General features: G+C 45.9%; 1 protein-coding gene across 1 annotated transcript in view, besides 1 other annotated feature; it reads right to left on the bottom strand.

Annotated features, from left to right (window-relative positions):
- CORO2B (coronin 2B) overlaps positions 1–14,147 on the bottom strand; it is a 209,434-nt gene that overhangs the window by 175,667 nt on the left and 19,620 nt on the right. The gene's annotated exons all lie outside the window — the stretch shown is intronic.
- Positions 993–1,494: an enhancer, noted in NCBI's record as "H3K4me1 hESC enhancer chr15:68842985-68843486 (GRCh37/hg19 assembly coordinates)". NCBI's record gives its function as "activates a minimal SCP1, AML or CMV promoter by ChIP-STARR-seq in primed H9 embryonic stem cells {active_cell/tissue: H9 hESC(primed)}" and the evidence as "EXISTENCE:reporter gene assay evidence [ECO:0000049][PMID:30033119]".

The raw sequence follows: 14,147 nt of genomic DNA, 5'->3' as shown, positions 1-14,147 counted from the left end.
CTCACTTGCTCAGCATTTTGAGCAAGCAGCTTCCCCTCCTTGGTCCTCAGTTTCCCTATCTGTGAGAGGACACTTTGGGGATGCTGATGACCAAAGCCCCTTCTGGGTTCCAGAACCTCAGGGGTAGAGAAGAAGCAGGCATCTCCGTGCTCCCTGCCAGGTCTCCCCCGGCCCCCACCCACCCATCCTTGCTGCCATGTCTGGGTCTTGATGTATGGGAGGAGAGGGGAAGGTGGGCCATCGGTTCTGGGCCTCACTTCCATGAAGAACCCCAAATAGACTTTAGATCTCATCATCAAAGAAGTTTTAAGAGTCATTGTCATGTTTTATAAGTGAAAAGTATTAATTTGTCATTATAAACATTTAAATTAAACTGCAGTTTTTGTAACTCTATTTGCCACTTTTCATTTTAAAAATAGACCTTAGTCTAAAGGATAGAAGGCGCCAGGCCTTTGTCCATCTTCAAGAGCCCTGGTTCCTGCTGCCCAGGGTCCCTCACAGGGGCTCTGGGGGTCTGGGCTGCCTTCCGTGGGAGAAGGAAATGACATAAGACCTTCAGAGGAGTAAGGTGGTTGGTTAGGGCCAGGGCTGTGGGCACAGGAGGGGCCCAAGTGTTGAGGAGATTCACTCCTCAGGAAAGAGGAGGCCGGGGAGGCCCAGCTTGGGGACAGCCTCCGGGAACAGTTGTGGTGAGCTGCGCCTCTTCACCCACAGCCCAGTGGGAACTTTGAGGCAAGGCTCTCAAAGGTGAGATGAGCTACCCTCATGCCAGGTTGGGCCTGGGCCTGCGGGGAGGACCCCTGGGGGTTGTTACCTGGACCTCCTAGTTCCCAGCCCTTTGAGAGTTAGGGGTGAGGTAGGCTGGGGGTCAGGCACTCACACAGAATGAGCCCCCGAGAGCATCCTGGCTCCGTGCCCTGTGAGCGGCCCCTCTCTCTCCATCACACCTTAGTTTCTCCCCACGGCACCCCTGTCTGCCCACTTTGGAAAGCGAGTGCTGGGAAAGGCTGAGCGAGGACCTCCATTCAGGGTCACCCAGGGGCGGTCAGCCTGGGCCCTCTTCCCCCCAGAGAGTCAGGAACCTCCTCTCCACCAAGACACACACCCAGTGTGCTGCGAAAAGCTGGTCATCCCAACCTCTCTGAGGATCCCACGCCCATCCTGGGGGTGGGTGGGGTAGCCCATAAGTGGGAGGGAGACTGGAGGTGTGGGGAGGCTCAGGTGTCCCCCTCTGGGAGGCAGGTGGGCTGCGTTCGAGTCCTGGCTCTCTCATGGCTGCAGGAACACAGTACAGCCATTTTAGTCTTGGGGTCCCCCTTTGGGAAATGAAGAGGCTGAGCCCTCCAGAGCCGCCTGCATCTCAGATGTGTTCTGGCTCCCAAGCCACCCACCTGCCTCTTGGAGAAAACCTTCCCGCAGAGCGCCTGCAGGTAGATTTGTTCTGAGACAGCACCACCTGCTGGACATTCTGGGTAGGACGCCTGTCCCTTCTAAGGTGAACCCAGAATCCCAGAACTCGGGGGCGACAGTAATAACGGTCCCTAAAAAGTACCATTGCATCTTCCATACTTTATACTTGGATCATATCATTAAATCTTTACAATCGACCATAAGAGATGGGTGCTATCGTGGTTCAATTTTATAGATGATGAAACTGAGCTTGAGAGAGGTTAAACAACTTGCCTAAATTGGTCGGGGTGTGGCTGAAATTCAGTGCAGTCATTCTGACTCCTTAGCTCCAGAGATCACTAACCAGGCCCCTGGCTTTCAGAAGGGGTCCTGAGGCCCCTGGTGAGCTACTTGCCAAAACGTCATGGCAAGTCAATGACAAAGGTGGGAAACAGACTAAATCAACTAGCTGGGGCATTACATCCCGGGGGTTCTTTTAAGCTCGTCTTTGGGGTCTGACCCACTCTGTATTTTCATGCTGGTAAGAAAGAAGCAGCTTCAAATTCGCCCCAGGCAAGCGGGTTTCTCCTTAGAGCACCCCCAGCACACCTGAGACCCCGCACGCTCCATCCACCCCTCAGCTGATTCCACCTTCCGCAGGTTTGGAAAACCTACCAAGTGTGGTTTGCAGCCCGCAGGAAGCAGGAAGCAAAGAACTTGCCAAGATTGAGAGAAGCTAAGTAACTTGCCCACGGTCACCAGCAACTTTATTTATTTATTTATTTATTTATTTATTTTATTTTATTTTTTGAGACATAGTCTTGCTCTGTTGCCCAGGCTGGAGCGCAGTGGCACAATCTCAGCTCACTGCAACCTCCATCTTCCAGGTTCAAGCAATTCTCCTGCCTCAGCCTCCCAAGTAGCCAGGATTGCAGGCACATGCCGCAATGCCCAGATAGTTGTTTTGTATTTTTAGTAGAGACAGGGTTTCACCATGTCAGCCAGGCTGCTCTCGAACTCCTGACCTCAAAGGATCTGCCCACCTCGGCCTCCCAAAGTGCTGGGATTACAGGCATGAGCCACTGTGCCCAGCCACCAGCAATTTTATGCAGCAGCTGGGAACAGAATGTAGTGACCCAGCTTCCAGCTCAGGGCTTTCCCATTCCATCCTCCCCATGGTCCCTTCACCCTGACTCACAGGGGGCCTGGGCTGGACCAGTCAGGGCTTAGCCAAGGGCCAAAGTGGGAGCAGGAGGGAAGGAGCTGGAAGTCCATGCTCAGGACAGTAGGAGGTTTTGGTACCACGAGAACAGACACATAAAAACAACCAGCCAATCCATAAAAAGACAAAAACCAACCAACCAATTAAAAAAAAACCCCAAACAATCCCAGATCATGGAAGACCCCAGTGTAAACTCCAGGAAGGAGGACTGACAAAATTGAAAAGTGCTAAAGCAAATTCTCAAAGAGCTGCACACTACATAGCAATATGGCCTGTGAGCTGCAGTTTTACTGTAAATGGCCGTTAAAACAGAAAGACCAGAGGTAATATACCAATACATGAACAGTGGTTGTTTCTGAGTAGTAGGATTGTGATTTTCTCCTCTTCTTGACAGTCTATATTTTCTAATTTTTCTGCAAAGATTCTGTATTGCTCACGTAATAAGAAAAAAATTATTTGTAGAAAGGAAGGAAGAAGAGGAGTATCTTTATGGTTTGGGAAAGAGGAGAAAGAATTTCTGAAACAAAACATAAACCAATAGGAAAAAATTTAACAAGCTAAAGATATTTGCCATATATATAATCAACAAGGGACTGTGATATGATATATAAAGAACTCCTGTCAATCGATAAGAAAAAGATATACAACTTAAGATAAAAATGGACTAAGAATATATGTATAGGTAATTTGCAGAAGAGGAAATCTAAGTCATCAATAAGCACATGAAAAGTTGTTCAACCTCACTGGTTGTACCACTTCTCATTCATCATGTTGGCAAGAATGGAAAAGTCTGAAAGTATTGAGTATCAGGAAAGATTTGGAGACATTAATACTCTCATATGCTGCTGGGAGGAGTGTAAATTAGTAAGACCGCTTTGGGGAGAAATTTGACAATAAGTAGTAAATTTGAAACTGCACATAGCAGTTTTGTTTTGAGATATATTCCTAGAGAAACTTTCATATGTACGCACAGGGAGATGTATGTGCTGTGGTGTGCTGGAACTGACTTGTACAGCTTGCAAGACTGATAGTGTTCAATTCTTCCCAACTCTGCATTTAGTGATGTCCTGTTGGCAGCTTGAAATCAGTCATGGCGGGAGTGTTTCAAGACAGCTGATGGTTAAACATTTGCCAGAACACCACTGCAAATAGGTTATTTGCAGCTTTGTTTTTAAGAGAAAAGCATTGGCTAGTCTAATGTAGACTGGCCATTAGTAGAAGAACAGGCGAACAAAATGTAGTATTCTTATTCTATAAAATAGTGTACAGAATTTAAAAGAAAAGAATTAGATGTATGTATCAACATGGATTGATTTTTTAAAACACACACACACACACATATATATATATATATTTTTAAGATGGAATCCTGCTCTGTTGCCCAGGCTGGAGTGCAGTGGCATGATCTTGGCTCACTGCAGCCTCCGCCTCCTAGGTTCCAGCAATTCTCCTGCCTCAGCCCCCCAAGTAGCTGGGATTACAGGCATGCACCACCATGCCAGGCTAATTTTTGTATTTTTAGTAGAGACAGGGTTTCACCATGTTGGCCAGGTTGGTCTCGAACTCCTGACCTCAAGTGATCCACCCGCCTCAACCTCCCAAAGTGCTAGGGCTACAGGCGTGAGCCACCACGCCCGGCCAAAAACGTACTTTTAAGCTAAGAAAGCAAGTGACTGAATGAAATAGTCCATAAGATATGACTATGTAGATTGAAAATAGTATTTAATATTTATGGAACATATGTCTGTATGTAAAGTAATTTTTAAATTGACTGGGAAGATAAATACCAAATTTGTCATGCTAATTGTCTTTGGGGAGAGGAGGGCTATAGGAAGGAGATAGAGGACTTTATCTGAGGTGTTTTATTTCTTTTATTAATTCTGTATAGGCCGGGTGCGGTGGCTCACGCCTGTAATCCCAACACTTTGGGAGACCGAGGCAGGTGGATCATGAGGTCAGGAGATTGAGACCATCCTGGCTAACACGGTAAAACCCCGTCTCTACTAAAAACACAAAAAAATTAGCATAAAAAAATTCTGCATAATGAGTAGTGCTGGCAAAATATTAACAACTATCATTGTAGATGATAGAGTTGTGCATGCCTGTGATGGTCTCTGTATTTTCTGTATTTTTAAAATAAAGGAAGCAGTGCTATAAACTTTCTTGCTCTATTTATGATTACTATAATTAGGGAGCCTATGATTATGGGTACAGGTAATTTTTACAGGGTCTTTTTATTATGAAGCATAATTCCAGAACAGTTGAGTTTCTCTATGTGATTTGCCTTTATCTTATGGACACTAAGTAAGATTATAACTAATCGGGTTGCTCTCTTTGCATTGGCTGCTAGGAAGCTCAGCTGCAGATATTTGGCCTGAAAACCTCTAGCAATTATCCTGGACCTCCTATTTGCATTTACCTCATTCTTTGTTTTACCTTCTCTTTCTTACTCTCACTTTTTATTTGCTGTGATTTCTGCATTTATTTGTTTTATAATTTACTTCATTTTGTATCATATTTAAATTTAGAAACTGCTTTGAGTCTTTTCTGGAATTAAGCTGGCCATAAATTAATTTATTTTTCAAATCCATTGGTACGTAAGATGCGATCCAACAAGAGAGGGTGAAAGTCTCCTGATTGCTCACTTAAAACATTAGCTAATATTAGAGGAGTATTCCCTCCTCTAAAGAGCCAGGAGATGGAGTGAACAGAGGGTTGCAAATACTAGCTAAGGTCAAAGTCAAGGTCAGCAGAAGAAAAGGTCATCATAAGACAAGAAGGGGGCAGGTAGAAGGCAGGATCAGGAGCATAACAAGGCCACATTCATCATTCATTTATTCATTCACTCATTCATTCATTCATTTAGTAACTATTGAGCATCTGGTCAGAGGCAGACAGACTGCAAGGGAAGAAGAAATGTACTGCACTGGGCAGAGGAGGCAGGCCAGGCAGAAAGCCAACAGCAGCTCCTGGTGGCCCATCTAGACACCTCAGGGTCTAGAATTACCAAAACCCAGCTGGGGAAAACCCACACACAGTAGCCAGGTAGTCTGGGCTGGAGGTGGCTGGTTGTTCTCACTCTGACAGGACTCCCCGCAGGTCCCTGGAAATCTTGGAATCCCTTGCGGTAGCTAAGCCAGGATTCAATTTACAGACACTCATTCCACACACATCCCAAATTGATGCATGGTATTGCAAAGGTGAGAAAACAGAAAAGATTGCAACTGGATGGTGGAATCTTAAAGCAACTACTGGGAAGCCTTGAAGCAAATTACTCAATATCCCTGAGATGAACTTCTTCGTTTGCAAAATGGACACTACAATCCCTTGTCCGGTCAACCTCGTGACAGCAGATGTGCAGGAGAGAGGACTAGAATAGAATGGACCATCAATAGGAGAGTGGTTTTATGTGCGTGAAGGAGCACCAAGTCGATTTTCTACCCAAGCAACTAAGGGTGGCAAGGACGGCTCACTGTTGGTTTTCTGCCCTCCACAATGAGTGACATGAGTTGGCAAAAGGGGGAGGGCAGAGAGAGGTGGGGTCTAGGAGTTTAGGAGACCCCGTGCTGAGCAAATGAGTCCCTTTGGGAGGAAATGCCAAGTCTCTGAGTGCCATTGGCCTTGACAGTCTTCCTGGGCCCTGGCACAGCTATCCGCTGCTTTCCCAAAGCCACACCTTTGAGGCTGAGGGCTGGGGATGCCCCACCTGATGGCAGCTCCTGCCATCCCCGGGGTACCCCCAGCCTCCCAGGCATGCCTCATTTACCCCAGCTCTTCCCCCTACAGCATTGGACTATGATAGTTTTCTTTCCAAGGAGTGATTCTGCCAGGAACTAAGGAAGGGGAGGCCCCTTTGGCTCCTTCAAATGCCACCCTGGCTGTTGCCCAGTCCCCCTCGCCCAGTATTACCCCCCCCGCCCCCCGCATTCCTGTTGCAGGCAGGGGTGTAAAGGGAGGGGCTCTGAGACTGATCCTGGAGATTGGGGCCTAGCCTCAGGGAGCTTCCAGAAGATGGGAAGGCCAATGGGGAACCCCCTTCTTTATCTCAAGAACTTTAAAATGTAGCAAGCAACCACACAACACACAACTCAATTCAAAGAATTGAATTTCCCACCAGGGTATGACAGAGGCTGGAGCTGGGGGAGGGGTAGAGTATGAAGGCCATGAACTGTGGAGTCATGCAAATTTGAGACCTGACATTTATAGCACCAAACGCCTTTCCATAGCAATACAAATTAAAAAGTGAAAATAAATGAATTAAACACCCACACTGAAAAATTAGGGGAAAAAGTCGTGAAGACTCCATGGCAAGGTTTTCTGAGGAGGGAAATCTACCATCTCCCAGTTTTTCCTCCAGCGTGTGTCACTCTCAGAGGAGTCCTGCCCTGCAGCCTTCATGTGGGGCATGGGAATCTATGGACACCGATTCCCACCCGTGCAAGAATGTGCCTTGCAGGCCGGGCGTGGTGGCTCAAGCCTGTAATCCCAGCACTTTGGGAGGCGAGGTGGGCGGATCACGAGGTCAGGAGATCGAGACCATCCTGGCTAACACGGTGAAACCCCGTCTGTACTAAAAATACAAAAATTAGCCGGGCATGATGGTGGGCGCCTGTAGTCCCAGCTACTCGGGAGGCTGAGGCAGGAGAATGGCGTGAACCCCGGAGGCGGAGCTTGCAGTGAGCCGAGATTGTGCCGTCGCACTCCAGCCTGGGCGACAGAGCGAGAGTCCATCTCAAAAAAAAAAAAAAAAAAAGAATGTGTATGACAAGCCTGTGAGCAGATTGGCTATGAAGGCAGAGACCTGGGGCTGCTATTGGCCCAATGACATGGGCTTCCACCTACCCAAGGCTGATCTAGCTCCTGCCACTTCTGAATGTCCAACTTGTCCATAATGGAGACCAAAATCAAACCCCTGAAATGGCATTGTTTCCTTGAGGAGACCAACCTGCCTCCTGGTGGTAAGTTGACTGCATCAGGATCTTCTTATCCTGGAAGGTGCAGGGGGCCATCCTCTGCATCCTCCACCTGGAACAGGATGGATACCATCACATGGTATTCAAACACTGTGTTTTCTCCCCTAGTTGAAGCAGGGCTGTTTGAGGGCATGGATGAATCTTAGTGAGTCGCTCAGACCCTGGCAAAAACGAGGGACTCAGTCCATGTGTGCAGAGTGGATGGGCCAATAGACATCAAATGATGACCAGTGTCACACACCCATGCACACACACTGCATGTTTTTACATCTTGTTACTCCTCCCAGTAGCCCTCTGGGGAAGATATCATCAGTATCTCCCTTTTACAGATGGGGAAACTGAGCCAGAGAGAGATATAGTTGCTTGCTCAGGAGATACAGGGCCAGATGTGGATCCACAGTGGACCATCAGCACCTCTGTTCTGATCACTGCACTGCATGGTTGTCTGTCTACAGAGCTTGGGGAAGGAAGGCATGAGTGGGCTGGGGTGGTCACCAAGGTGGGGTCTGAGATGCTCCTTAGATAATCAGAGGAAGGACTAGGACAGATATTCTAGGCAGAGAAACACGTGACTGGTCCAGCAGACTGCTTGGTCTGAGTAGAGGACTTGAGAGAGGTAAGGGCCAGGATCTGGAGTCATGGCGGGGCTTCCTGTCACCTGGGCAGCGTGAAAGGCTGCTGGGCAGAAGGCTGGACAGGGTGATGCCCAGTTTGGCAGTCACCGCAGTGTGCGTCAGGAGGGTGGAGGGAGGGACTAGGGCAGGAGGGACTAAGGCAGGAAGGAGAGATGGGAGACGTCTGCAGCTGTGTTGGGGGAGGACTGGAGACCCTGAGATCAGAGGCAGGCATAGGAGTCGATAGAAGTTGATTAATTCAAGAGTCATTACAAAGGAAGCCTTCTTTGGAGGCAAGCAGGAGGGTCTGTATGGGAATCATGGACTCTGCCCCTGGGAAATTGGCCTTGCTGGCCTTAGAGTTGCATTTTTTAGTTATTCTCACAAGACCCTGGGGTGGGAGGAGGAAGGAGGGGACAGGGTAGAAAGATGGGGATTGGGGATCCACCAGCCCCCATGCTCTTATCCTCTGTCTCTGCAATGCCAGGAATGGGCTCAGACACCAAGATAAACAATGTGTTGACCTGGCCCAGGCTGAGAATGATGCTGATAGTGACTATGAATCAGCCCTAGGCTTTGGTCCAGGAGAGAGAGGCATTTCCCAGTCAGGGGGAGGGAGGAAGCCAACCACTGTTCTGGAAATTTCCACTCACATTATCTCCCTCTGACAGGGGAGCAAACTGAGGGCTCCAGAGGGGACATGACTTGTTCAAGGTCACATAGCCAGTGAGAGCCAGTCTTTGAAAATGCATCCTTCTGTCTCGAAGGCCAGGGTCACTGCAATTTGTGGAGATATCTGGCCATGCAAAGCCCCTCCACCCCCCGATCCCTGTTGGAAGCCTTCCTGAGTTGTCTCCGTCAGTCTAACCTGATGCTTTTTGGACTCACATTGCCTCAGTAGTTAGGAGTCTCCTTTGTTCTGCAGTAAACCAAGGCATCCCGAGGAGCCTGGAGCAAGGCATTCCTTTTCAATACATCCGGCAGCTGATTATCACTCAGCAAGTCACACATTGATTGCTGATTGTCAGAGCTAGAGCAGAGATAACAAAGGGAAGCACACATGCCACATGGGCAGACACTAGGGCTGCTCCAGAAGGTTCCCATCTCCCTCCTTCCAGGCACATGGTAGCACTGCATACCTCTGCTCTCTTTGGAAGTTAAGTGAAGCCATATGACTTGCCCTGACCTATAAAAATGTGAGCAGAGGTGACAAATGACCCTTTTGGGCAGAAGCTTTAAGAGCCAGTGTGGAGTTGGCTATGTCTCCTTCCTGCTTGCAGGGATGAAAGCAGGTATTGCCACGGAGTCACAGGTGGCCATGAGGGTGCCCCTCCCTTCTGCTCCACATTGGAGCCAGAAATAAGCTCTTATTGATTTTAAGGGTGGTTGTTGTTAGCACAGCTTAACCTAGCCTATCCTGACTAACACAGAAATTTGTACTTAGAAGTGAAGTGCTGTTAAAGCAAAAAACAATGAAAAGATGCAGTATTCTCTTAGAGATTCAGTGGCAGCAATAAGGAACTGATGTTGGAAGCTGGAGAGATAGCTATCCATGCAGTGGAGAAACATTTGGTGAAACTCTCACCTGTAATTACTTGAAATGTAGGGAAAGAAGTTTGAAGACAGAAATTGAGTAGTGTGTTTTGCTTGCTGTTGGCTGCATTTGGCAAAGTACTGCAAACGAGATGAGTTCAGAAATTGATTAAGGATGGGTCAGCCTAATACATGAGTGCTTATGATAGGATCAAATTTGGATCCTTTGGGGTCTTTTGCTTCCAGCCAAGAAGTAGTAAGAGACTGGATTTACTAGCCCACCTGAAACAACTAAAAATATGAAACACTGATTTTCAAGACACCAGACCTCAGGCAATGAAGTCATCCCTAAGACGCAACAAACAAATGAGACAGTCCCTGTGACCGTCCCAGCTTGCTGCCTTGAGAGAGTTTCCAGGCCACGGTGCAGGGAGAAGGAACACAGGCGGGTCCCACAGACTCCCTGGGTTGAGAGGGTGGAAGGAACTGAATGTAAGGAGGCCCAGGCTGTCAGAGTTCGCAGGGCACAGGACTGGAGAGAAGAGAGCCACACAGACGGAGAACTCCAAAGAGCCACCAAGGGTCTCCCTCAGGCATTTAGCAGAGTTTGATCAGCACCTGCGTGTGAGGAAGCCCCATGAGCCAGCGAAAGAATCACCCGAAAGGGTTAGAAGGAACAGCACCAGAAGCTCATGCGGGGCCAGTAATAGTACCTGCTCTCCAGCCAGACTGAAAAAACTCATAATTCATAGGGCACTGGACAAAGCACTCAGGAGGATCTTGTTTTAGTAGCTGGGGATGATTAGCTCTAGATGTTGTTTTGCTGAAACTAACTCACCACTGGCACTGTGATTATGGTATTGACTGCAGTGATATAGATTCCTTCGAGTTCAGCTTATTATCACCTTGTGTTGTATGATGATCCAACTCCCCCATCACCTTTTCCTCCATCCAAACTACTCTAAAGCCTTTGTTCATATAGCATTTTTGATGTCACTGAGTATGAACTCATTTATGTACTATATCCTTCTGATGCTAGTCCTTAAAAATAAAATAGTACTACTTGGTGCCAATAGGACTCTTACTCAAATGAACATGATGACCCTGAAATCACATTATGGTCCTTAGTTATAAGATGTTAAATAGATCAATGATTTTCTTCCTTTTTTTATTTGAGACAGGGTCTGGCTCTGTCACCCAGGCTGGAGTGCAGTGGCACCATTTTGACTCACTGCAGCCTCCACCTTTCAGGCTCAAGCCACCCTCCCACCTCATCCTCCCGAGTAGCTGTGACTATAGGCACACACTACCACAACACCTGGCTAACTTTTTAATATTTTATGTAGAGATGGGGTTTTACAATATTTCCCAGGCTGGTCTCGAACTGCTGAGCTCAAACTATTTGCCCATCTCAGCCTCCCAAAGTGTTGGGATTACAGGTGTGAGTCACTGTGCCCTTGCAGAGGATCTGAAAAGTCACGACTATTTTCATAATAATCCTCTTTTTTTACTGTATTAAAATGTGTACTGATGGTACAGAAGCAAAGGTGGCTAAAACTGCTGGTGCTTTTAGCGTGAATTAGGGCAGACTATACTGACAGTCACTGACTCTCTGTGTGTGTGTTTGTGTGTGTGTTTTAACCACCATGCACTTGCAGTTTAAAAAAAAAGCCAACTTTACTTAAGAATGTTCTTGATGAGGCAGTTAAAATTATTCATGTTATTAAATATTGACCCTTAAGTACTTGCCATTTTAATATTCTAACTCAGTGTGACAAAATGGGAAAATGTATACAGCAGCTCTGCTGCATACAAAAGCATGGTGATTGTTTAAATGAAAGGGACTGGTGAGACTGAGTTGTGAGCTAAACTGCACATTTTTCATTGAACACTGGTTTTGCTTGAAAAACAGATAAGGTAAAGTTAATCAGACTTGTGTATTTGGCAGACATTATCTTGAAAATAAATGAAAGGAGCCCACCACTTCAAGGAAAATAATTGACAATCATTGCTGCCAATTATAAAATTCAAAATTTCAAGTGCAAATTAGAATTTTGGAAAACTTGCATCTGCTACTGTGGGATTGACAGCTTCCCAATACATTGTGATGGGTCGTGATGTTAAGTAATGTTGTTTTTTAAATATTGTATGATTAAATGTGTCAATATTTGGAAGATCTACATAATTCAGTGAACTAATATTTTCCAGGTGATCAAAGTATGATGTTTCAAAATCATGCACAGGCAAAAATCCATTTAAAGTGCAAGGTTGACAAATGGATTTTAATGTTACAGAGTATGAAAACATACTGATGTGATTTCAAATTCCACATTGCAACTAATCTTTAAGAAATTCCTACTAGTTGAGTTTTGGTGCATGGTTAAGGGAGAATATCTACAATTATCTTCAAAAACTGTTAAAATACTCCTCCCTTTTTCAACTGCACGCTTGCGTAAAGCCAGATTTTCTTTATATACTTTAACCAAAACAACATACCACGATAGATTGACTGCAAAAGCAGGAAGGAGAATCCAGCTATCTTCTATTAACCAAACAGCAAAGAGATTTCCAAACAATGTCACTCATTCTATTACTTTTGTTTGTTTGGGACAATACAAATACTTTGATTAAAATATGTGAATACATAATATGTTTATTGCTGTTATTTAAAAATGCATTAATAAGTATTTCAAAATGTTCTGTTTTTCTATTATGATAAATATTATTATTACTATTATTTATTTGAGACATGGTCTTGCTCTGTCACCCTGGCAGACTCAATCTTGGCTCACTGCAGCCTCAGCCTCCCAGGCTCAAGCGATCTTCCCACCTCAGCCCCCTGAGTAGCTGGGACTACAGGCACACGCTGCCACGACCGGCTAATTTTTTTTTATTTTTAGTGGAGATGGGGTTTTGCCATGTTGCCCGGGCTTGTCTGGAGCTCCTGAGCTAAAGTGATCTGCCTGCCTTGGCCTCCCAAAGTGCTGGGATTACAGGTGTGAGCCACTGCACCTGCCATGATAATTATTGATAGACATATCTCATATGTTCCAGTTATCAATTTACTGACTCTCAGTTCCAAATTTATCCTTCACTACCAGCTCTGCAAAAATGGAGATGGGCCCATTAAATAGTTTTCTTTTGCCAGCTGGCACAGTGGTAAGCGTTGTCAGTAGAGGGCGCTACAGAGACATAGCAGAAGGAAGGGATTTTCCCTCACTGTTCTCTCAGCAGGCTCCTGCAGCTTGTGGCTTCTCTAGAGCCCAGCTCTGCTGTCTTGTGGCTAGCCTTTATCTTTGGTTACTGGACTGTCTCCTATGCCTCTAGAAGCCTGTGGGCATTAAATAGCTTAATACACTTCAATTATAATGCAAACATTTGAATTTTGACACAAAAACTGAGATGTAAAAGTGTGATTACTGTTCTGTGGTATAAAAATGTAAAAGGATTAACGGTTTTTCAAACCATCAACACCTCAGGACTTTAGCCAACTGACCTCTTAGAAATGAAGATTCCCTGGCCATATCTCCTTCCCTGATCAAATAAAGTGAGACCCAGATCCATGAGAACCTACAGGCTACTGGAATGACACCTCTTTAGAATGTGAGAAGTCCTAATAGGTCCAGGGATCCTCTTCTCTCCCAGTAGGTCTGGGGAGGTTGGGAGATGACAGTAAAGCTGGGTTTTTTTTGTTATATTAATAAACTTGTGAGTTTCTTCTCTCTAGGTAAAAGCTTTTTCATTTAAAGTGAACTTGAAGACTGGACTTAAATCAAAATAATGAAGAGAAAGGACCAAAATGGGGCCAAATCAGCTGGGACAATGTGAGCTCTGACCATGCAGAGAAAAAAGGAGAGCAATTCATATGCTGAAGCCACCGCAGACTCCAGTAGTGGATGCCAGGGCAACGCCCAGGACCTCCTCACAGTCACCAGCCCAGGGTACACCCAGGACCAGCCCCTCCGCAGCTGAGGCCAGAGGTTCCAGAGGGCACATACTGTGTCAGTCTAAAGCCCCAACTCTCCTGTACTGCCACATCCTGTGTATTTTTACCGAATGAAGCCAAGCATAGCTTTGAAAATATACATTATTTTATGCAATTAAAAGTTACTGAGGGGCAGGTGGGCCTCCTGGAAAGCTGTGGCTATTCCCCTCTTCCTCCACACACACCAGGAATCTCAGGGGAGGCAGAGAAAAAAAGGAGAAAGGGAAAAAATTATTGGGATCAATTAAATTGTAGGGTTTCTTGCTTCTGTTACCCAATGGATAGTGATTTGAAGGAGATCCGATCAATTACTAGAGAAAAAAACAAAATTATATATTTCTCTGAATAGTTAAAGGTAACGTAAGTAAATGTGTGACTTTGCTACTTGGATATACTTAATTGTTCCACCTAGATGATACCTACTCTATGAA

This window comes from Homo sapiens, chromosome 15 (genome assembly GCF_000001405.40).
Source record: "Homo sapiens chromosome 15, GRCh38.p14 Primary Assembly".
NCBI classification, from domain to species: domain Eukaryota; kingdom Metazoa; phylum Chordata; class Mammalia; order Primates; family Hominidae; genus Homo; species Homo sapiens.
This window is presented reverse-complemented; position numbering and strand designations above follow the sequence as displayed.